Source organism: Homo sapiens, chromosome 6 (genome assembly GCF_000001405.40).
Source record: "Homo sapiens chromosome 6, GRCh38.p14 Primary Assembly".
Taxonomy (NCBI): domain Eukaryota; kingdom Metazoa; phylum Chordata; class Mammalia; order Primates; family Hominidae; genus Homo; species Homo sapiens.
Window position 1 is genome coordinate 91,561,802 of NC_000006.12, and position 25,599 is coordinate 91,587,400.

Consider the following 25,599-nt stretch of genomic DNA (forward strand, 5'->3'; position numbering starts at 1 on the left):
TCCATGCCCAGGCAGAACTCCAGGTATTGGTAGCAACCGCTTGGTAGACTGAGCTGCCCCACCCTTCCTGCTCAGAGATTATGGTGCAGCACTGCCTGCTCTATTCCACACCCAGGGATATTTCCAAGCATTCAGAGAATTTTCTTGCCTGAATTAGCAGTCTGAGATGGCCCTCCCTTACTATACAGAGACCATGGTAAAGTAGGGCCCTCTCTACCCTACACCCAGACATACCTCCAGGTATGTAGATCATCCACTCTCTCAGATTAGAAGTTTAGACTGTCCCCACTTCCTCTGGCAGAGAACTTGGGTCCAAAGAGGTTTCCCAGCTCTATGCTTAGGTACACTGCTGGGCACTTGGTTATAACCTACTGGATTCTCCCTCAGTGCTGGTGCTCATACCTGACATCAGGGGACTTGTAGGTGGGCCAGCCTGGTTGGCCCTATCCATCTCTGCCCTCCACCTCTCTGGGGAGGAGCAGGGAACTCAGACCACTGTGACCTCCACAGATCAGCCCATTGACTAAGGCAACAGAGAACATCTCCTGGTAAACAATGGTCAAATATATACTCAGTCACATTGGCCAAAGCCAGCTCTTACCCAAAAGAGCCATCTATTGTATTATAGGTCAAACTGCAGAGCCCATTACAAAACCCACTGAAAAATTGCATAGGACTTTAGAAGCAAAGCCTAAAAGACCCTACCCAACATTCTCTACATTCACATCCCCTAGGGAGGTGGGGGAAGGAAAGGTAAAGAAAAACACACATGGGCCGGGCCCCAGCACTTTGGAAGGCTGAGGCGGATGAATCACGGGTTCAGGAGTTTGAGACCAGCCGGGCCAATGTGGTGAAACCGCGTCTCTACTAAAAATACAAAAAAATTAGCTGGGCATAGTGGTGGGCGCCTGTAATCCCAGATACCCAGGAGGCTGAGGCAGGAGAATTGCTTGAACCCAAGAGGTGGAGGTTGCAGGGAGCCAGAATCGTGCGTGCCACTGCATTCCAGCCAGTCCGGGTGACAGAGTGAGACTCCATCTCAAAAAAAAAAAAAAAAAAAAAAAAAAAAGACACACACAAATATTACAGGGAAAAAAAAAAGAAAAAAATTCTATCCATCTGAAAATAATTACAACCATTAAAATTACTCACATCCCCAGATGATAAGAAATCAGCACAAGAATATGGCACCGTGAAAAATGTGAAGGTAGTGACACCAGCAAAGTATTACACTAGCTGTTCATCAATGATCCCTAACCAAAAAGAAAACTCAAAAATAGCAGATAAAGAATTCCAAGCATGGATTACAAAGAAACGCAATAATATCCAAGCAAGGCTGAAAGTCAACACACAAAAAATCCAAACAGTCTTTTAAACTAACTCAGTCAGACAAAAATAAACCAAAAGGAATTTAAGAAATGAACAAAGTCTTTGAGAAATATGAGATTAGATGAGACCAAATCTATGAATTACTGACATTCCCGAGAGAGAAGGCAAAAAAGTAAACAATCTAAAAAACATATTTGAGAGAATAATTGAATAAAAGTTCCCTAATCTTGCTAGAGAGATAGACATTCAGATATAAGAAATCCAGAAAACACTTGTGCCAAGACATATAGTCACCAGACTGTCCAAGGTCAATGCTAAAGAAAAAATCTTAAAGGCAGAAAAAGGCCATATGACATACAAAGGGAACTAAATCATGCTAACATCAGACTTCTCAACAGAAACCTTACAAGCCAGGAGAGACTGGGAGGATATTTTCAGCATTCCTAAAGAAAAAAAAATTCCAATCAAGAATTTTATATCCTGCCAAACTAAGCTTCAGAAGCAAAACAGAAATAAAATATTTCCCAACAAGCAAGCATTAGGGGAAATCCTTACCCTTAGGCCAACGTTACAAGACATCTTTAAGGAAGTTTTAACATGGAAACAAAAGAACAGTACCTGATAGCATGAAAGCATACTTAAGTACATAGGCTACAGACCCTACAGAGCAATCACATGATAGAAACTGCAAAGCAACCAGGTAACATCTTGTAATATGATTAAAACCTTACATTTCAATAATAACCTTGAATGTAAATGGTCTAAATGCTACACTTAAAAGACACAGAGTTGTAAGTTGGATAAAGAAAGGAGATCTATCTTTTTGCTGTATTCAAAAGACCCATCTCACACAAAATGACAATTAGTATTAAAATAACGGGTTGGAGGAAGATCTATCACACAAACAGAAAATTAAAAATAGCAGGTGTCACTACTTTTATATCAGATGAAAAAGGATTTAAATCAACAAGGGTAAAAAAGGACAAAGTAAAAAAGGAAAAGAAGAGCATTACATAATAATAAAGTGTTTAATTCAACAAGAAGATATAACTATACCATATATATACACAGCCAACATTGGAGCAACCAGATTGATAAAACAACTACTTATCAACCTACAAAAAGACTTAGTTATAAAATAATAATGGTGGTCTTTAGCACCACACTGACAGCATTAGACAGATCATCAAGGCAGAAAATTAACAAATAAATTCTGGACTTGAATTCAACACTTCACCAATTGGACCTAATAGATGTATACAGAATATTTCCCTCATCAATGACAGAATATAAATTCTTCTCATCTGCACATAGAACCTACTCCAAGACTGACCACATGCTTGGCTATAAAGCAAGTCCCAGTAAATTCAAAAAGTTGAAATCATATCAACCATATTCTCAGACCATAGTGGAATGAAAATAGTAATCAATATTAAGAATGTCTCCCAAAACCATGCAATTACATGAAAATTAAACAACTTGCTCTTGGATGACTTTTGGATAAACAATGAAATTAAGGCAAGAATCAACAAATTATTTAAAACAAATGAAAACAGAAACAATATATAAAAATCTCTGAGCTACAGCAAAAGTAGTGTTAAGAGGAAACTTTGTAGTGCCAAACACCTACCTCAGAAAGATAGAGAGATTTCAAACTAATAATTGAACATCATACATAGGGAACTACAGAAACAAGAAGCAAATAATCCCAAAGCCAGCAGAAGAAAAGAAATAACTAAATTCAGAGCAGAAATGAATAAAATTGAGACCCAAAAATCCATACAAAGAATCGATGAAACCAAAAGTTGGTTACTTGATAGGATAAAGATTGATACATCACTGTCTAGATTAACAAAGAAACAGAAGATCCAAATAAGCACAGCCAGTAGTGACTAAGGTGACGTTACAACTGACCCACGGAAATACAAGAGGTCCTCAGAGACTATTATGAACACCTCTGTGTACACAAACTAGAAAATCTAGAGGAAATGAATACATTCCAGGCAATGTACAACCTCCCAAGATTGAATCAGGAATAAGCCTTGAACAGACCAATATTGAGTTCCAAAATTGAATTAAAAATACAATCCCATTTACAATAACCACAAAAAGTACCTAGCAATACACCTAATCAAAGATGTAAAAAATGTGTATAAGGAAAACTACAAAATACTGATGAAAAAAATCATAGATAACACAAACAAACGGAAAGATGTTCTATGCTTATGGATTGGAAGAATCAATATTGTTGAAATGGCCATATTGTCCAAATAATCTGCTGATTCGACACTATTTCTATCAAACTACTAATGGCATTTTTTACAAAATTAGAAAATATTATTATAAAATTCATATGAAACCACAAAATATCCCAAATAGTCAAACCAATTCTAAGCAAAAAGAACAAACCTACAGGCATTATATTACCTCAGTTCAAACTATACTATAAGGTTACAATGATCAAAAAAGCGTGGTACTGTTATAAAAACAGACATATAGATCAATGGAACAGAGTAGAGCAGTAGTCCCCAAAGTTTTTGGCACCAGGGACCAGTTTCAAGGAAGACACTTTTTCCACGGACCAGGGTTGGGAGTGGGAGATGGTTTCTGGATGAAACTGTTCCACCTCAAATCATCAGGCATAACATTCTTATGAGGAGCTTGCAACTTAGATCCCTTGCATGTGGAGTTCACAATAGGGTTCAAGCTCCTATGAGAATCTAATGCTGCCGCTGGTCTGACAGGAGGCAGAGCTCAGGCAGGAATGCAAGTGATGGGAAAGTCCTGTAAATACAGAAGAAACTTCGCTGGCTCACCCACTGCTCACCTCCTTCCCCCTGGTCTGTGGCCTAAGGGTTGGAAGCCCCAAGAGTAGAGAACCCAGAAATAAAGCCACCCACCTACAGCCCTCTGATCTTCCACAGCATTGACAAAATAATAAATGTGAAAAGGACTCTCTCTTCAATACATGGTGCTGGGATAGCTGGCTAGCCATATACAGAAGAATGAAACTCAAACCCTACCTTTCATCATATACAAAAATGAACCCAAAATTGATGAACAATTTAAATGTATGACTACAAATTATAAAAATCTTAGAAGAAAACCTAAGAAGCACCATTCTGGATACCAGCATTGGTAAGAAATTTATGACTAAGTCCTTAAAAGCAATTGCAGCAAAACGAAATTTGACAAGTAGGATCTACTTAAACTGAGAGCCAAAGAGCTTCAGCAAAGATAGTTTCTTTTCAACAGCAAAATAGACTATCAACAAATAAACAGACAATCTACAGAATGAGAGAAAATATTTGAAAACTAGGCATCTGACAAAGGTCTAATATCTAGAATCTATAAAGGACTTAAATAATTCAACAAGCAAAAAAACTCCAAATAATCCCATTAAAAAGTAGGCAAAATATATGAACAGACACTTCTCAAAAGAAGACATACAACCAGCCAATAAACATATAAAAATGCCTAACATCACTAATCATCAGAGAAAGGCAAATCAAAACCACAATGTGATAACATCTCACACTCATCACAATGGCTTTTTAATTAAAAAAAAAAAGTCAGAAAACAAGAGATGCTGGCAAGGTTGTGCATAGAAAGGAATGCTTATGTATTGTTGGTGGGAATGTAAATTAGTTCAGTCACTGTGGAAAGCAGTTTGGAGATTTCTCAAGGAACTTAACACAGAACTACCATTTGACTTAGCAATCCTACTACTGGGTATAAGAAAATACATTATTTTATTAAAAAGATGCATACACTTGTGTGTTTATTACAGTACTATTCCCAGTAAGAAAGACATGGAATAAATCTTGGTGCTCATCAATTGTGTATTAGATTTTTTTTAAAAAAGTGGTACATATACACCATGGAATACTTCATAGCTATAAAAAATAACAAAATTATGTTCTTTGCAGCAACATGTATGCAGCTAGAGGCCATTATCCTGAGTGAATTAACACAGGAACAGAAAACTCCAGCCTGTGAGATCACCCTCGGGGACTCTATGAAGCTGCAGGGGTGGAGCTACCCAAAGCCTTGGGAGCCCACTCTTTGCAGCAGTGTATCTTGGATGTGGAACATGGAGTCAAAGGAGGTTATTTTGGAGCTTTATGATTTAATGACTGCCCTGCTGTGTTTCAGATTTGCATGGGGCCTGTAGCCTCTTTCTTTTGGCTGATTTCTTCATTTGGGAATGGGAATGTTTACCTAATGCCTATATCCCCATTGTATCTTAGAAGTAAATAACTTGTTTTGATTTTACTGGCTCATGGGTGAAAGGGACTTGCCTTATCTCAGGTGAGATTTTGGAGTTTAGACTTTTGAGTTAATGTTTGAATAAATTAAGTCTTTGGGGGACTATTGGGAAAGCATAATTGTATTTTGTAATGTGAGAAGGACACGAGATTTGGGGAGCCAGGGGTGGAATAAATAGTTTGGATATTTAGATATTTGTCCCCACCCAAATCATATCATATCATATCACCCAAATATCAAGTTGAAATGTAATCCCAATTTTCGAGGTGGGAGATGTTTTGGTCATGTGGGCAGATCCTTTAAGACTTGGTGCTGTTCTTGCGCTGTTGAGTTCTTGTTAGATCTGATTGTTTAAAGTGTGTGGCACCTCCCCTACTCTCTCTCTCTCTCTCTCTCTCTCTCTAACTCTGTTTCTCTCTCTCTCTCTAACTCTGTTTCTCTCTCTCTCTCTCTCTCTCGCTCCTGCTTTCACCACATGATTTTCCTGCTCCCACTTCACTTTCTGCCATGATTGTAAGCTTTTTGAGGCCCTCACCAGAAGCTGAGCAGATGCTGGTGCCATGCTTATATGGCCTGCAGAACTGTAATCCAATTTAACCTCTTTTCTTTATCAATTACCCAGACTCAGATATTTCTTTGTAGCAACTCAAGAATGGCCTAAAACAGGTACACATGGACAGAAGTATGGCAAGAATAGACACTGGAAGCTACTAGAGAAGGAACAAAGTGAAGCAAAGGTCACAAAACTATTGGGTGCTAGTCTCACTACCTGGTGACGGAATCATTTATACCCCAAACCTCAACATCATACAATATATTCATGTAACAAAACTTTAGCATCACACAATATACTCATGTAATAAACAATACCCCTTGAATCTAAAATAAAAGTTGAAATTTTAAAAAGAAAGCTAAATTAAAAAATTAACTATTCAGTGATAATCATGTTCAAAATAACACATCGATGGAATACTTAGTCTTATTATAATGACTTAATATTCATTAGAAATGAAATATTAAAATGATAATTGGCATTTAGAAATCTATAATCATAATTCAATTATTAAAGCATACTGACTTTTTATAAATATAACATGTCAGAAAGTGCCAATACAATTATTTGTTAACAAGAAAAATTGATAAAATAATAGAAGTGCTTTTTATTAAAAATATGTAATGAATTTTATTCATCCTGTGAAAGCCCGTGTGGTTTTATTTTTAGATACTACAAAAAGCATTTATGTGATCATTTTAATTTTTTTGACATCTCAAAAATAATATTGTATAATATTACTGCTTTCAAAATCATATTTAACACCCTGACCTAATGCATTATATGCTTAAGGATTATGCAGCTGTCAATATACCTAAAAAATTAAATGTGATATATGTGATCCAAAGGTAAAAAAGTCTAATCTTCCTTTGGCTATAAACAAAATAAAGAATAATAATTATTGAATAATGTTAGAATTTGATCCATTAGCATTTAAATAAAAATATATGTGACTTATTTTATGATTAAAAACAATTATGAGTTTATATAAGAAATTTTTCTTGGTAAAAGTCCTTCTGTCCTGTAATTGATTACTAAGATATTTTCTGATAAACCCAAGCTCCTTTGAGAGTTGACTGTCCACCATCTTTTCTACAAAATAAATATTTTATAAACAAACATAATTTTTAAACATAATCTCTCCTCATCTGAGCTCCTTTATTTATGTCAATAATACCACCTTTCTTCCAGAAATCCAGTCTCAAAATACAGAGTGCTGTTCATTTTTGTCTCCTATTAGTGGCACCATAACTAATTCTGCTGTTTAACTTACTTGTGAGTCACTCACGTTCAGCCAATTGCATCAGTCATACTGCAGCAGGCCCCTGCTGACCATATGACTCCCCAGCCTCAAACCATTTAAGTAAATTCCAGTATCTATGAGATCTTGTCCAACATTTTTACTGGGATTAAGGCCTTCCAAGATCTTTTCTCTGGAAATCATCAAGACACTCAGAAGGTTCAGAACCCTGGCTAATGGCGGAAAAAATTCCTATAGACTAAATTATTAGTGTCTCTGATCATTTTCCCATCTGCTTTCAGAAGGTCTAGCTTGAAGTGATGGCAGTTTGCAAGGCACCAGATGTATTTGAATATCCTGGTCTTTTGCTAACAGGGCTCCAATGTCAGTGAATATGTGATGTGAATCCAAAAAGACAATTAGCAGAAGACTGTTTTGCTGTCACCTCTCCAGGATCCCTAACATCCTAGCCTCAGGGGAATATTCGCACAGCTCCCCTCCGCAGTTCAACTCAACTAGTTCCATATATCAAATCACACCTAATTAATAATATTATCTATAAAGTAAGGTGAATCATAAATATTTATTAGACCTTACAGTTGGGCACTGTCCTTAGAGTAATCACATAAATAACAATACTCTTAGTCATTGTGTGAGTTCCAATTATTGTCTTTAAAGAAATTGTGGTTGGGGAACTTTAAGTAACATGTCAAAGATCATAAACCTAGGTAGTGATGGAGTCAAGATAATAATTTAAGTGTGTCAAACTCCAAAACTCCTTTTCCTCCAAATTACTCTATACATGTATTTTCTTCTATTTTAATTTATTCCAAAGGTATCAGATGATATGCTGGAAAATATACAACAATAAGGCTACTACTATAACACCACCACAAAAACAAAGTCTAGCTAATAGTTTGGTACCATTTGTCCCTTCAGAAAAGTTTAGATAAAAATTACATTGTATTTAACTAACTTAACTATATGTGATGACAATGATGTGAATACTCTGATTATAATTATTTCTTACTTTATCTTATTCTTTCACACTCCCTCTGTTTGTGTAAGCATTGGCATGGTTGTTCATTTTTCACCAGAGGCCATAAGTCAATTGAATACTCAAGCATAGATTTTGAATTAGATTGTTTTCACTTCATTATTGCAAAAGAGGGTTCTTTAGCTGTGAAATGGATATGGAAATTTTTCTAAAGCACCAATCAGGAAATATATACTGCAAATTTTTCTTAAGTGAGGGATAATTGTGATGCTTTTCTTCATCATATTTCTTAAATCAATTTCCTTTTCTTCCTCTTCCATAACCACCACTACCAATTTTAATTCTTGTAGTCTGTTACCTAAATTATTTCACTACCTCTAAATTGGTCTTCCATCTCTAGCCTTCCTTCAGAATTTCTTATGCATGAGGCCAGCCAGAATTTTTTAAATGGTTTCTTATACTGCTGTATTTCCCAAACTTGCCATTACTCTTTACTATCTTTTCCTGAAGGGTAAAGGGCATTTAACATTCATTTGTCTACCTAGCCACACTTGATCTAAGCCAAAAGGTGGAGAATCAGTATATTCAGACCAACAAAAACACAGGAATAATATTCCCATGCATCTTCTTTTTTATATATATTTAAGGAACAGATGAATAAATACGTGAATAAAAGTGTTTTATATACAGAAATGCCGTATATCAAATGCATGTAGTATTTAATTATCCTTTTACAGTTTTCTAATACTGTTACGACTAATTTGAGGAAAAAGAAAGCAAATCTGCCTAGCGGATAAAATTTGAATGTGTTGTGCATTTTCATGTCATGTGGATACTGTCTTGACCTGCAATTGTGAGACCATATTCACATACAATAAGCAGGCTTGTGGAATTTAAAACTGTGCCAAAAAATCTTTGATAATAATCCCATAAAAGGTGTAATATAATTCCCCTCCCCCTAAGAATGAGTTGAACTTAGTGCCTTGATTCTATTCTAGTGGATAGAATATGAGGAAAGTGACAGTGTGTGACTCCAAGACTAGCTTATAAAAGGCAGTGTGGTTTCCACCTTGCTCTCTCTAGGTTCACTCACCCTGGAGAAAGCCAGCTGCATAAGGACACTTAGGCAGCTCAGTGGAGAGGACCATGAGGTAAGAAACAGATCTCCAGGCAATGGCCTGGGAGGAACTCATGTCACCTGACAACATCCATGTGAGTGAGCTTGGAAGCAGTTTTACCAAACTCAGTCAAATGTTCAAATGATTGCAATACCAGCCAACACCTACATTGCAGTTTCATGGGAGATCCTGAACCAGAGCTGTCCAAATAAGCTTTTCTGTTTTCCCAACCCATGGATATAGTGAGGAAATAAATGTTTATTGTTTAAGCCATTACAACTGGGAATAATTTCTTATATAAAAATAAATAAATAATGGAGCCTCTAGGGGTAGATTTTATTTTAAACTGAGTGCATGGGAAGATATAAGGAATATGGTCAGAAATAATTGATCTGTCCCCTCTATTTTTTACTTGTAGAAATTAATAATCATTATATCAAGAATGTAGCAGCATTTGCATGATGTATTTGTGTTGCAAAATAGAAAACACAGCTCAGACTTCATCATGATCATCATTACCTTTCTTAAAAAAATATTTAAAATATTTTCACATAATACTTTTATAAAAGCTTTGTGAAACCATTGAGTGACATATCCTAGCTTCTTAGGGACTCAGAAAATACAGAATTTCCTGTGCCACAAGCACTGTGCATGTAATCTTTACTTTTTTTCTTATTTCAGTAAAATAAACCCTATATTGTCAATTGGTTATTTATAGTGAATTATATTTTCACAAATGACATATATGTTTTTGTGGTATATATGAACTTGAATAGAATGGCTCTGTGATTAATATTACAATGGGTTTGTAAAGCATGCATTCAAGCTAAAATACTACCCTTTTTCTCCTTTCATGTCTTTTTATAACATTGAGCTTAAATTACACGTTATATTTTCTTTTATATTACACTAGGTAAAGACAAAACAACTTCTTAGAACATGTAGATATTATTATAATTGGCAGAATAATTTTGTAAAGAGTGAGTAAAGCTGTAAAATGAGATAGACTCTTTAGTCGACATGCTGTTTTATGTGTATATTTATAGAAATAGATATTAATAATATTTCTATATTTCAGTACTTTTGCCAGAATAATAAAACAAAATAACTAAGTTTTATTTTAGAGAAAGTGTGCAAATAAAGAGTTTCAGTATTCTTTTACAAGGCATATTAAATATAGCAGTGATTTTTTTTTCATTCTTATTTTAGACAATTGCATTTTTGAATTCTCCTCTTATGGAAATGTTAGTCTAACCAATAATATTCAAAAAGGAAAACTAATCAGCCTTATGGAAGGAGACAGCTTGTCATTCTCCACTTTCCGTATCTACATTAATCTGGTTTTAATTTGGCATGGTTCTTCTATTTATCCAGGGTCTGGGGCTTGCATTTTTTTTTTTTTTTACTTGTGAGGAGATTGTAAATATGTTCACATGGCACATAGTAAAGTGGCAAGTTGTATGCAGCAAGAAACTCTCAACTATGGGAAAACTCCATCCTGTGTGCTGTAGGGTGACTATATATAGGTTTGTTTTATTGTTTTTAATTTGCGTATCTTCTGTCTGTCCTTAAATTAGATTCAGTATCTTAATAATTTCACTTGAAACTCAAAGCCAAGATTTTGCTGTGTGAGGAAGTTTCTGAATAAGACATCAAGTTTCTAGCCATCAGAGGATAATTTATTGATACTTGTCAAAAGGAAGTATCAGTCTAACAGAAATCAAGACAAAAGGAATGCCTGATGAATTTTCTTTGAAGTGCCTTTTATAAAAGTCCTTGGTAATACATATTGATGAACTCCAAATTGTCTTGCCTGAAGGGAAAAGAAAGTAGACTGCTTTACACTGTCTTATAAATATTCATCAAAAGAACAAGACTTATGTTTCCAGGCGTGAGGTGAATGATTACGGTTGTATGATTGCCTTGGAATCTGGATAATTAGTAAAACAGCCGTTGACAGAGAATTTTAAACTTGGTACGTTTCTTGCCTTCACTTTATTTGGAGTCAGAAATAAAGCTTCCTATACCTAAGGGAAGCAGTTTTAGGGGATGAAGAATTGATATTATCAAGTTCTAGCCATTGGTTGGTTTACTATCTTTTTAGCTCAAACTTAAAACAAAAATAATTGGTTTTATTTTTATTTATTTATTCTTTGGTAATTCATTTTTGGTCTAATGAAACAGCACCACTCTTATTAAGGATGATTTGTTAGGATATGTGTCTTAAGACCTGAGGACTGTAAAATGATAGGATGAATCCATCTAAATGATCAGACAGAATAGTTTTGTGTGACTGTTTTTTGCATGGGATTATTGTTGTCATTTTGCTTATTCATTTTGGACTGAGAAATTAACTTTGTGTTTCTTTTGCTTATTGAATCCATGGGATTAAAGATCCAGCTTGATTAAATGGACATGGAATTTTTGATGTTTGGAAGATAAGTATTGTTCATACCAAAAATCAGAAATTATCTATCATTGTGTAACTAGTTGCACATTTCTCCTAACCCTTGTTTTATAAGTCATCCTCTAAACTGTTAGGAGGAAAATAATCCCTTCTCTGGAAACTTTATCCTTTACAGTGTTTAGCACTTAAATGCAATTAAGCAAACATAATATCCTCTTTGAAGCAAAATAGTTGCTCAGCTTAAGTAACTGAAACTAATTATCTCTGTTGAATGAAAGACATATTCGGCAAGTGTTTGAAGAATGCTTCCTTCATGTTGAGCAGAAATTAGCACTTTTATTGGCGTTGCAGGTGGAGGAGCACTCAACATGCTGTATCTGTCAGTTCATACCCACATGTAGACCTACAAGTAAGAAAGGGGAACCGAAATTGACATGTATCTGGGAGTAAAATGTGATAAAACAATTAATTTTTAAATAAGAGAAAGACAGGTTGAACAAATGATTCTCCTAGAAAATGTTTAGGTGTTATCTAAAAACTGTCCACTTATTGCAAGGGAAACTTTACTGCTTCAAACACCTTGGCCAGAAACATGCAGAATTTTAATACCCAGCAGCATTGACCTGTGGTAAATGCAGGAGATGACAATGATGGTGATGAGGGTATTGGTATTCTTGGAAAAGTAACTGAATACTTTGGCAAATAAAATTAAATGTTTTTCAGAAGCAAAGGAATCATCTTGTACTCTCCCACTTTTGTTTTTTTAAATATTGCACTTTGTTTAATGTGCTTATAATTGATCTCATTCAGAATCTATGAAAAATAGTTTAGAAAAAAGACTCTTATAAGGCATATGGTGTCAGCAGTCTGGAACACTTAAATTGATCACATAGAATACCTAGATAAATTCAACATGGGATAGAAACAAAGCAAGAACCGTCTGGAAACTGAAGTGTTTTGTCTCTGAGGAAATCTATTATTTTTATTTTATTTCAAAAACATCACTGAGAAATTTACTAGCTATAATATCATTTATATAACATTTTTTTCAAGCATCTGAGGAAAAAAAATCTCCATTTAAAATGCAAATGGAAAAATGTGGGAAAATGAGTAGGGCAGAAAAGGAGAATTGACAGTTAAATATTTAAAACTTTGCATTATTGGGCACATTAACCTGAATTTTTGTAATATCAAACACAGCCTCACCGTATGCAATCAATGGTGCATATAAACATTTCAATGAAAATATTTCAAATGTCTATATGCAGAAAACCACAAGAGAAAGGCTACTATCTAAAAATAATAGCTATAATTAAAATTTTGAAACTACGGGATAACCCAATACTTACTAAACCACAGCCATAGCTGGATTTGTTTTAGGACACTTTGTCTGCCCAGAGTACAACATCTTAAGAATGAGACAGAATTTACAATTGTCACTGGGAGGGCCTATGAGGAAAGAAAAGTGACTTCAAGTTAAAGACTAACTTAGAAAACTTTCCCTGGTGCTGACTGAAATGACTCATGTTTTGCTGAGTGGATTTTTGAAGAAAGTAACAGCTTCCAGTGTTTTCAGTGGTAGGAGCCCACTAGGGTGCAGATGAGAACTGCACTCATGAAAGGCAAGTATAGATAGTCATAAAGCATGAAGAAACAGTTGACATCACCCCCTTCCCATTAAATTAATTCCTATAAATACAAATGTAAATACTGTAAGTTGTCATTTGTTTATCAGGGAAGAAAGGAATGATAAAAATTTTAAGCTGGCATGTTTAGAGTAAACAGGCACTCATATTTCATGTTTATCAGAGTGAAAATGGATGCAAATTTTTCAGTAAGTATAAAAAGAAAGCATATTCTTCCAGCAAGAAAGTTGACTACTAGACATTTATCAAAAGAAAATGAATAGGAAATTGTGTTAGGGTATATATTGTAGGCATGTTTATATAACATTATAAAAAAATACTAGAAACAACTCAAATGATTAATAGTGAGAGACTGAGTAAATGCATCATATTAAACCAGACAGTTGTTCAATATTTAACCATTAAAATATTTTATATATTTTATTTATATTTACATGAAAATTATATATTAGGTGAGAAGAGGATATATATGTGTGTACATAGCTCTATCTATCTATCATCTATCTAAAAGTCATCTATGATATATATCATATAGATGGTATTATGGGTTGAATTGTACTCCTCCACAATTCATATATTGAAATCCTAACCCCCAGTACCTAGAATATGACTATGCATTTGGAGACCTATCTTTAAAAAGGTACTGGAAATATTTTTAACAATCTTTTTAGAAGTCTTTAAAGGGGTAATCAAGGTAAAATGAGGTCATATGGAAGGGCCCTAATTCAGAATGACTAGTGTCCTTATAAGAAGAAATTAGGAAACACACAAGTACTGAGGGAAGACTGCATGAAAACATAAGGAGAAGATGGCCATCTGCAAACCAATGAGAGAGGCTTCAGGAGAAACCAATCCTGTTGAAGCCTTGCTCTTGGACTTTTAGCCTTCAGAATTGTGAGAAAATGACCTTCTGTTGTTTGAACCACTTAATCTGTGGTACTTTGTTATGGCAGCCATGGGAAGCTAATACAGATACTTACCTCTTGATGTAGATATAGACATAGATATATTTTTCTTGGTAATCTGTGTTTTCTATTTTTTTCTAACGTAAATACATACCATTTATATAATTTTAAAATATGCAGGAAATAAGAAAAAGCTGCTAGACTATGTTAGTTGTGAAACACTGAATATTTCAGAATAACGTTCTCTAGAAACTCAATTAAGAATTAGGAAGAAAACATCAAATGTATCCAATCGTTCACAGGTAATTTTGCCCAGAAGTTAATTTCTGTAAGTTTGATAACTGTCATTTCTTGCTACAGATGCAATCAAGCAATATCTGATTCAAAAGTTTTAATCACAATAACCACGCCAGAGGTGACTAGTTGAAAATAAGTGGGGTGACATATTTTGTGCAAAGATCCTAAGTTTTTAGTCAGTAGGGGCTTTGTGTCGTGGAACTTTCTACTCTCCATAGCACCTAGCAAAATTCTAGATATGAATTCATTCTTTATAAATGCTTTTTGACTGGCTTATTCAAAAAGTGAGAAAGAAGAACGATTTCGTAATAATTGACTTTCGTACTTTATTAATTGATGCATGTATTCATTGTAGTAAGATATAACTAAAAATCTTCACGTTGTTGATTGCAAGAAGCTACCTATCAACATAGAATCAGGGATATGTCAGTTTTTCCCTTAAAAAATGAATAAAACCCAGAGTATAATTTGCCCTGGAAATGTCAATATCAGCAGTGTGATAGTTAGAGGACACAGAAGTGACAATCAAACTGTATTCAGTATGGCCATTTATTAGAAGTTTGGGGGGCCTAGTGCATGGTATATTTTTGGTTCTATAGGAGAACTCAAAGTAATCTCTTCTGAATCCAACACATTCTCTAAAATCTCTGTATGCATGTAAATAAATGTAGCTCTATCTATAAAAAACGTAAATAAGTTTCAAATTTTAAAACTTACAGATTTTCAGAAAACACATCAGTGATGGCTCAGGGAAACTATTTCAGATGAGGAAAATTATTTTCTTGATATTTGGTTATCTATTTTAACACAAGACTCTTGATAACAATATGTAATTGTTTAGGACCCATTAGCTTTTTACCTCAAATATTGTATAATTGCTTCAGTTAATTATAAAAAATATGGTTTCCATTTTATATTCACACATTAAAAACCTGTGAATGTTCACTTCCAGAAAAAAAAGTAAGGTATTTTTCTTCATACCTAAGATAATTTGCTTCTATATATTCTATATATAAAGATATATTCTATATCTTTCTATATGGGTGTCATCTCTGTAGTGTCCCAGTCTTTCTAATCTTACTTGTTTTTCAAAAACCCATTCAACACTTACAGTGTCACTATGAGAAAAAGATGAAAATCTGTGCTTTCTTCTAAGAAAATAAGTGTAGAGAAATTTATTTTAAAACACAAATCATATTACAGGTAAAATGTATATCAATAAAACCATATTATCTTTACGTGACACAGAAAACCATTATGTTTCTCTGTATTTGCTTCTTGTCTTTAGTTTTTATTGATTAAGCCTGGTTGCACCTCAGCCAGCTGATGAGTGTTCACCATCTTACTTCCATTTTGACTCTTCTTTGTCTGAACTGTTTCCCTACTGTCTGTCTCCAGTTACCTGTACTGATTTCAACTTTAACCTTCAACCCGATATATTTTTTAGCCACTCACAAAGAATTTTAAGAATTCACAAAACTGAGAGCTTCTGCCAGAAATGCTGCAAAAGATGTTAGAAGTATATTAAATCAAGAAGTATTTTAAAAAAGCCTGCATATTTTGACTGCATTAGTCAGTCGATCATAAGAAAGTTGCCTACATCGTAAACACACTCTCCCAGAAACTTTAGTACAGGTGCGGCTTTAGTAAGTTCAGATGTATAAATGCTAAAGCTTATGTAAACATTCACTTGAAAGCATCATTATTTACATTTGATAACCAGTTATAGGTTTTCATGATTTTAATGAATTTTTTACATTAACTTTTGGCTTTAGTCTCTCTAATTGAAGGTGACAAACTATTAAAGCAAAAATTTAAAAACTGTATTATTCAAAATTCAAAAATCTAAAAAAAGTAAAGTAATTAGACCTAATTGAACTTTAAAATGCTGATTTAAAAATAAATTTGTAGTATTACACTTTTGAAGTTATTAAGGTGTAAAAGTGTACTAAGACTTTTGGCACACTTTGGATTTCAATATTCTTCATTAAAAATGAATTTTAAAAAAACCTAAACAAAGAAAAATAGGACCATATTATACCTTCTTTACTATCCTTCAAAAATTGCTGAAAACTTTCCTGCAGTACAATGTCACTTATCTTCAATCATCTAGAGAATGAAAGCCAGGGAGTTCAAGGGAGCAGCCTCAGGTCATGGAGCTGGTTCATGAAGGAAAAGATTCCCTGGGCTGTCACTCCATTTCTGTTCTCACTACCTAAATGGAGTAAGTCAATGAGAATTATGGACTTGATATTTTTATATTGGTGCCTGACATACCTAATCTCTCCCTTGACTAAAGTTGCCCAATCCATGAACCTCTGCTCAGAATAGTATCATCAGGCACTTCCTTTGCATAAAACATGGCTTTTGTTTGGACTGCAGTAAAGATCCATCCTAAGAGCAATATCGCCCTTAGCCTGCAAATGGGGCCCTGCACTGGGCTTTGTGATCCAGAGACTGTGTTCTAACCCTCTGCTGCATCATTCCCCATAGGGAAGGGAAGCGTAGGAAGGTGTTTTTAGGGCCTGAAGAATGAGCTGTGATACCAATTTTGGTACTCAACACAGAGTGGATAACTGCTAAATGTTGATTTGCAAAGGAAAAAAGCTTATTTTCCTTCATAGATTTTTACACGTATTCAAAGATTTATTGTGGTCCTAATCGTAAGTTTTTTTTTTTTTTCCTGACTTTTGTCTTTGAACTTTCTTGGTCTGTATATTGTGCTTGCTTTGAAAATGTTAGGATCTGTGTCCAGTTCTCACATATATTTTACCCAGTCGGTGACATTTTCTTATGTAATCATAAACCTGTATCCTTCTACGCATATACTTACATGATTTTATATACATGGGGTTTTGCCTTCTTTTGTCTATTTTGAGAGATGAAAATAACCCTTGCCTTTAGGAAAGAATAAGTTGGACTTGTATGTATTAGTAAGAACCTAGAGAAGACTACCTAAAATAAGTGTGAAGGACTGTGAAAGATATGTATAAGACTAAAATATAATTATGCATTAGATATAGAGAATATGCTGGTAATGTGAAGAAAATACCAGGAAACATGTTTTTTGAGTTCAAAATAGAACATCTGAACTTTCCAAAACTGTGTATTACTGGTTATTGAAAAATCTCATATTGTTTATTTACATAAATTGCTTTCACATTTTTTTCTTGAATTTTCACGATATGCCAATTTTTCTTTTACTTTCTCTCTCTCTCTATATATATACATATGTTATATATATGTATATATAAATATTATATATGTATATATATTATATATACATATATATACACATATATATGATATATATATTTTGTAAGACTTCAAGGCTTCCTAATCTTTTTCAGTTACTGTCATGTGTATCCCTCACTTAACAATAGGGATATATTCTGAGCAATGTGCCATTAGGTGATTTCATAATTACCTATGATTAGGTGAACATCATAGAGTATATTTACACAAATCTAGATGGTATACCCTATCACACACTTAGGTTATATGGTATAGCCTATTACTCCTAAGCTACAAACCTGCACAACATTTTACTGACTGAATACTGTGGTCAACTGTAACACAATGGTAAGTATAAGTGTATCTAAAGATAGAAAAGGTACAGTAAAAATGTGACACAAAATACAGAAAATAGTACACCTGCATTAGTCAAGGTTCTCTAAAGGGAGAGAACTAATAGGATATATGTGCATATATGAAGGGGAGTTTATCAGGAAAATTGACTCACACGATCACAAGGTGAAGTCCCACAATAGGCCATCTGCAAGCTGAGGAGTAAGGAAGCCAGTTCGACTTCCAAAACCTCAAAAGTAGGGAAGCCGACAGTGCAGCCTTCAGTCTGTGACCAAAGGCCTAAGAGCCCCTGGCAAATCACTGGTGTATGTTCAAGAGTCCACAAGCTAAAGAACTTGGAATCTGATGTTTCAGGGAAGGTATCATACAGCATGGGAGAAAGATGACGGCCAGAATACTCAGCAAGGGAAGTCTCATTCCATTTTCTTCTGCCTGCTTTATTCTAGCCATGCTGGCAACTGATTAAATGACACCCACCCAGATTGAGGGTGGGTCTGCCTCTCCCAGTCTACTGACACAAATATTAATCTCCTTTGGCAACACCCTCACAGACACACCCAGGAACAATACTTTGCATCCTTCAATCCAATTAAGTTGACATTCAATATTAACCATCACAACATCTATATAGAGCACCTTCCATGAATGGACCTTACAGGACTGAAATCTGTTCTGGGTGAGTCAGTGAGTGAGTAAGAAGTAAATGTGAAAGCCTAAGTCATTACTGTATACTACCATAGACTTTATAAACACTCTACACTAAACTTATAGAATATATTTTTCTTTCTTCAGTAATAAATTAATCTTACTGTAACTTTTTTACTTCTACACTTTAATTTTTTTTAACTTTTGACTCTTTTGCAATAACACTTTAAAACAGACACATTACACAGCTGCACAAAATATTTTTCTTTTTTATATCCTTTTTAGTAAGCTTTTTCTTCTTTTTATTTTTATTTTTTACTTTTTAAACTTTTTTGTTTAAAAATTAAGACACAAACACACATCTTAGCTTAGGTTTACACAGGGTCAGGATCATCAATGTCACATCTTCAAGGACAATAACACACATAGAGCTGTCATCTCCTCTGATAACAAGGACTTTTCACTGGAGCCTTTCAGAAGGTGGAGGTTGAGAGGAGGAAGAGGATCAGGAAAAATAACTAATGGGTGCTAGGCTTAATACTTGGGTAAGGAAATAACCTGTACAACAAACCCCCATGACACAAGTTTACCTATATAACAAACCTACACTTGTACTGCTGAACTTAAAAGTAAAAACAACAAAAAAAAGACTTTTTCTGGAACACCTCCTGAAAGACCTGCCTGAGGCCGTTTACAGTTACCTTGTTTTTTCAAGTAGGAGTATACTCTAAAATAATGAAAAAAAGTATGATCTAGTAAATGCATAAACCAGTAACGTAGTTCTTTACTATCATTATCAAGAATTATGTAGTGTACATAATTGTATGTGCTATACTTTGATAAGACTGATGGCTCTGTAGGTTTGTTTACACCAACATCACAGACACCTGAGTAACATGTTGCACAATGACATTTCAATGGCTACAATGTCACTAGGTGATAGGAATTATTCAGCTTAATTATAATCTCATGAATCCACAGAAGTATATGTGGTCCATTGTTGACTGATACATTATTATGTGCACATGGCTGAATTAAACTTAGTCCAGTCCATATTAAATTCCATCTCATACTCAATACAGATTCCCCCGGGACAGGTTGAAGGTGCTTAGAATTGGGCAGGGGATGGGATCTACTTCCTTTCCTCTTCCTACTTTAGTACCTTGGCCTGGAGAGAGATCTCAGCCAGGCTCTGGGTCATTTCCTTTTCTGGATTTAACTATTCAAAAGTCGGGGCCAGAGATACAGGAAAGTAGAGGCAGAGATCTTATTTATCGAAGTGTATGTTGGCATAGAAATTATCCTTAATCACTACTCCAGTTAGACCTTGTTCAGTCTGATGTTAGTGGTCTTTGCAGAGGATACTATATACAGTTTCCTCAAAAAAGTACTCAAGTCATTCCATCTTTCCTGTCATAAGGGAATATTCCATAGGGAGGGGAGGCTTAGGTACTCTTTAGTCCTTCCAGAAGCCATGCAAAAAACAAAAACCCTCTGTCTAGTTGTGAGGTTACTTTGCTTGGTTTGGTAGCCCCTGTTCAGCCTTCTGCATCCTTCCAATCCTCTAAACTCAATGATTCTTTCCTTGGAGGAAAGGGCACTACCTGGTCTTATTCGGTGTCATTGAAGGGCTGTGAAGAACTGGAAAGGAAGTTTATGCATCTTTTACTTCTCAGGGTCTCTATAACAGTCCTCTCATGCCCTGCTGATGCAGATTTCTCCAAGGAAACTCTGACCTTTAGAAATCTATAGACTAAAAGAAGTTTCTAATTGAGTTCATTACATGTCCTAATTAAAGGGGACTACATAGAACTGCTTTCCTAAAAATCAGTAGAAAATTTTGCTTTCTATTACCTTTTGCCCTATTCAAAACATATCCTAAGCATTGCCATCTGTTTGAAAAACGTAAGTTTTTGAATCTCAGCAATGTGTTGACCTTAATCTACTTAACTACTGCATGATTACTGCTTTTCGAATAGCTAGAGAGTCATTCACCCCCTCGCCCAACCAGCACCGAATGTTTGTTCCAAAATACTATCACATTAGTGTCTCACATTAGCTGAACATAAACAACTGGAAAGGAAATAATTTGGGATGAATAATCATGCATAGCATACTGAGGATGGAGTTGGGGGATGGTAGAGTGTTATGTACTAGGAAAGGATAAAGAAAATGTCCCAGAAGTGGTCAACTAGAAGAATCATTGTTTTGCATGTACTGGGAAAGGAAAGGGGGAATAATGTCTAATTGTCTAATAGTGGAAGGTTTTATATATATATATACATATATATATAAACAATTATACAATATAAATCTAAACATAAATATATGTGTATGTATATATATTTATATTTATAAATCTATCTATATTTCCATGCATATTTATGTTTATAAATCTATCCTCATTTATGTGTCAGAGAGCTAGATATGCTTATATCAGGCCTGAAGAACCATGGTGGATTGATAAAAACAGTTGGATTGATGGCTGCTAGATTTCAGGAATTGGGCTATAAATAATGTCTATAAACATACCATACAACCCCACATTTGAGAAGCATGGCATTGAAGCTACAGAGTGGAGGTGAGAGAGTACTACATATTGTAGATGTGAACTGTCCTGAGAAAGTCAGTTTTATTCTTTGAAGAATAGTAAACAAAAACACGATGTGGGAAACCTCTGCAATACATTTTAGAAGAAAGAAAAGAAAATCTACTTTGAAGGCTGATAGGGGAGTGAAGCTGAAAATTATTTACTTCAAAAACCAGAATCAATTTTTAGATAGCTATGAGGCAAACTTAAATTTAATGAAAGAAGACATGGCTTTAATAAAACAGAAGCAGAAAACTACAAGGGCTGAATAATCATAGATAAAATTCCAACATGATGAGATAGAGAAGGAGGTACATAAATGATGTAAGGATTGTAAGTAATCCAAATGTTTAATAATCAATGTAACTGTTTATTAGAATCAATAAATAGCATAAATTAAAAATAGAAATGCTAGCAATTTGGAGAATAAATTTGAGAGCTTTAGTAAAGAAAAATAAATAGTGAATAGGTCAAAATTTATTTCAAGAGAACTGGAAAGAAAAAGAGCAGAAGTAAATATGTAAGAATTTCAGTAATTCCTAAAAGAGAAAATAAAACAATTGGAATACTAATCAAAATAAAACATAATTCATCTGTAAATATATATATATATAAATATATATGTATATGTCTCTAATTTAATGAGGTTACAAAATTTAATCCTATACATATTTCAGGAAAAAGTAAGATATTTAAACATAAATATATTCTTGGACAACTCTGAAATTCAAAGGTAAATAATATTGCCATCGGCTCCCATCAGCAGGGAATAACCCAACCTATGAAGAACAAAAAGTTGAAAGGAAGGAAGAGAAGAAGGAAGAGAGGGAGGAAGGCAGGGCAAGAAAATTGAAAGGGGAAGAGAAAGAAGGAAAATTTTAAGGGGGTGGGAAGAAAAACAAGGCTGGAATTTGATGTTTCTATAACACTAAATGATCAGAGAAACTGAATAAACATGTACAAAGTCTTGATGGGAAAAACTGGGGCTCTTGAATTTTGCAGGCAGTCTGATTTATTTTTAAGTGTGAAGGCAAACTCTAAATTTTCAGAAAAGCAAGCGGTTAAGACAAATCTCCATCTATCTATCTATCTATCTATCTATCTATCTATCTATCTATCTATCTATCTATCTATCCATCCATCCATGTAGTAACATCCACTATTATTGTCTTAGTCTGACTGGGTTGCCATATCTAAATACCATCGACTGGATGGCTTAAACAACAGAAATTTATTTCCCACTGTTCTGTGGCTGAGAAGTCTAAGATACAGGTGCTGTCCGATACAGTTCCTGGTAAGGGCCTGTTTCCTGGTTTGCAGGTGGATGCCTTCTTGTCTTCTTCACATGATGGAAAAAGAGAGAGTGTTGTTCTCTCTTCCTCTTCTCCTAAGGTCACCAATCCCATCATGCGGGTCCCACCCTCTTGACCTCATCTAAATCTAATTACTTTCCAAAGGCCCCATGTCCAAACGCCATCACATTGGTTGTTAGGGTATCAACCAGTGAATTTGGGAGAAGTATAAACATTCAGTCCATAACAATTACCCACCCAAAAAATCACTTAAAAATGCATTTCAAATGAGTGAAGATGAATGATAATTAGGAAGGAAATAATAAGAATACTGTCATATTAAGAAGTATAATTTAAGTATTAAAACCAGTTAGAGATAAATGTAAGCCTCTAAAGTATAATTATAAATCTAGCTTTGATAACAAAGTAAGTAAAGTAATATGCTTGAAAGATAGTATATGATATAAAATATTTTAGTAATTAGCTTGGTCTAAGATTCCAGATTACCTTAGGGAAGGCCTATATGATTTCAGAAAGCAATGAAATTGTAATAATTATCTTGCTTACACTGAAACTTCTTAGAAGCTACAGTTTTATTACTGACTGGTTGATTTATAAAGTTTTGTTAGATAATTTTTTGAAAATTTAAATATAATTAACAATAGGCTAAAATCAAGATATACACTATTCAGATGACTGGTAATGATATATCCATCCATATAGCCCTAATTAACATAAACTATAAAAAACATGTAAACAAAACAAAACAAAATATTATATTATGACAGATATAATTGGACTTGTGGCTCACTGCAACCTCTGCCTCCTGGGTTCAAGTGATTCTCCTGCCTCAGCCTTCAGAGTAGCTAGGATTACAGGCATGTGCCACCTTGCCCAGCTAATTTTTGTACTTTTAGTAGAGATGGGGTTACACCATGTTGGCCAGGTTGGTTTCCAACTCCTGACCTCAAGAGATCTGCCCACCCTGGCCTCCCAAAGTTCTGGGATTACAGGCATGACCCACCACATCTGGCCTGGACTTACTTTCTTATTAAAAAATAAAGTTGCTCAAGTTAAAAAATGTAAGTCCAATTATATTTTTATTAGAAAAGACATGCCCCCCAAAAAGTCACAAAAGGACTTAATTAAAAAATAAACAGAATAAGCAATGATGTATCAGATGGTTGTAAACAATAAAATAATAAAATATCAGAGATGTCAATACTATTTGCAGAGGCAGAAAAATTAAATGGGTTAAAGTTTGACTATTATTTTATTTAAAGATGCATGATATATGAAGACATAATACTAATAAACTTTGCCAATCACCTTAAAATTTTATTCAGCTTAGAATATTGAAGAGAACATAAAAAAGTATCTACAAAACTTTTACCCTCTTACCTTCATTTTACCTTATACTCTACCCTATTTATAAGAATGTGGACATTTCATGAACAACGAACAATGCCTCACCCTGTGTGCTAGATCTCATGCCTTCTCATCCACCCACAGACACTGCTAGAGCAATTCTCTTGATTTCCTACATTACTACCTTTTTTCCACTCTACATAGTTCCCACTCTAGATGATATCAGCATATACAACAAAATAAATCCGTTCCAAATTTACTCTACTCCCTACCAAATAGTGCCCCCATGTCATACCTTTTATAGCAAAACTTTTGGAGGGAATTTTCTATATAGCTGTCTCTAATATCCCTCCTCCCATTTTCTCATAAACCTATTCCAAAAGATTTTCACCCACTTCAACATGTCAAAGAAAATGGTGTTACCAATGAAATTGCACATTTCTAAATTCAATGGTTATTTCTCTGTCTTCACTGAACTGCAAGAGCAGATGACATTTCATCAACCTTTTCCCCTTGCAACATCTTCTTATCTTGATTTCCAGGGCATTATACTCTTCATGTTTACCACCTACATCTCTGCTTCCATCTTCTTAGTCTGGTTTCTTTTTATAGTCATAGCCTCTAAATGTAGGAGTATCCCACAAAGTTCCCCTCTTTGTTCTCTGTACTTATAAGTGATTCCACCTAGAATATGTACTGATGACTCTCAAACTTAAAATGCTCCACTGACTAAAAGATTCATTCATATATCCAATGTCCACCTGACATCTCTACTTGAATGAAATCTAGAAACCAAAAACTTAATATATGCACAATATAATCTAGAAATTACAAACTTAATATATTCACAGCTGAGTTTCTGTTATCTTTCCCTTCACCCCCATACATAGAATTTCTGAAAATTTCCTCTCTCTACTTTTCAATTATTCAGACTAAAATAATGGGTATCATTCTTGATGACTTTTTTAATTTCTTATACCACATTAATTCTAGCAGCTAGTCCTATAAGTTTTATTTTCAATTCATATCTAAATTCTGACCAATTCTTTCCATTTGCACTGCCACCATCCTTAGATAAGCCATACTCATGTCTTACCTGGAAAACAGTAATAGTAACTTAACTGGTTTCCCAGATTCCATATTTGCCCAGCTGTAATTTATTCCCAACAGAGCAAACCTGGCAAGAAGTTAGATTTTATCACCCCCTGCTAACAACTCTCCAACAGCTTTCCATCTCACTCAGAGTGAAAGAAAATGTCTTACCATCATCTATAGTGAAAGAAAAAGTCTTACAATCATCTATGAAGTTCAACATTTTCTGGTCCCCCCCCTTTTTTTTTAACAATCTGATCTCA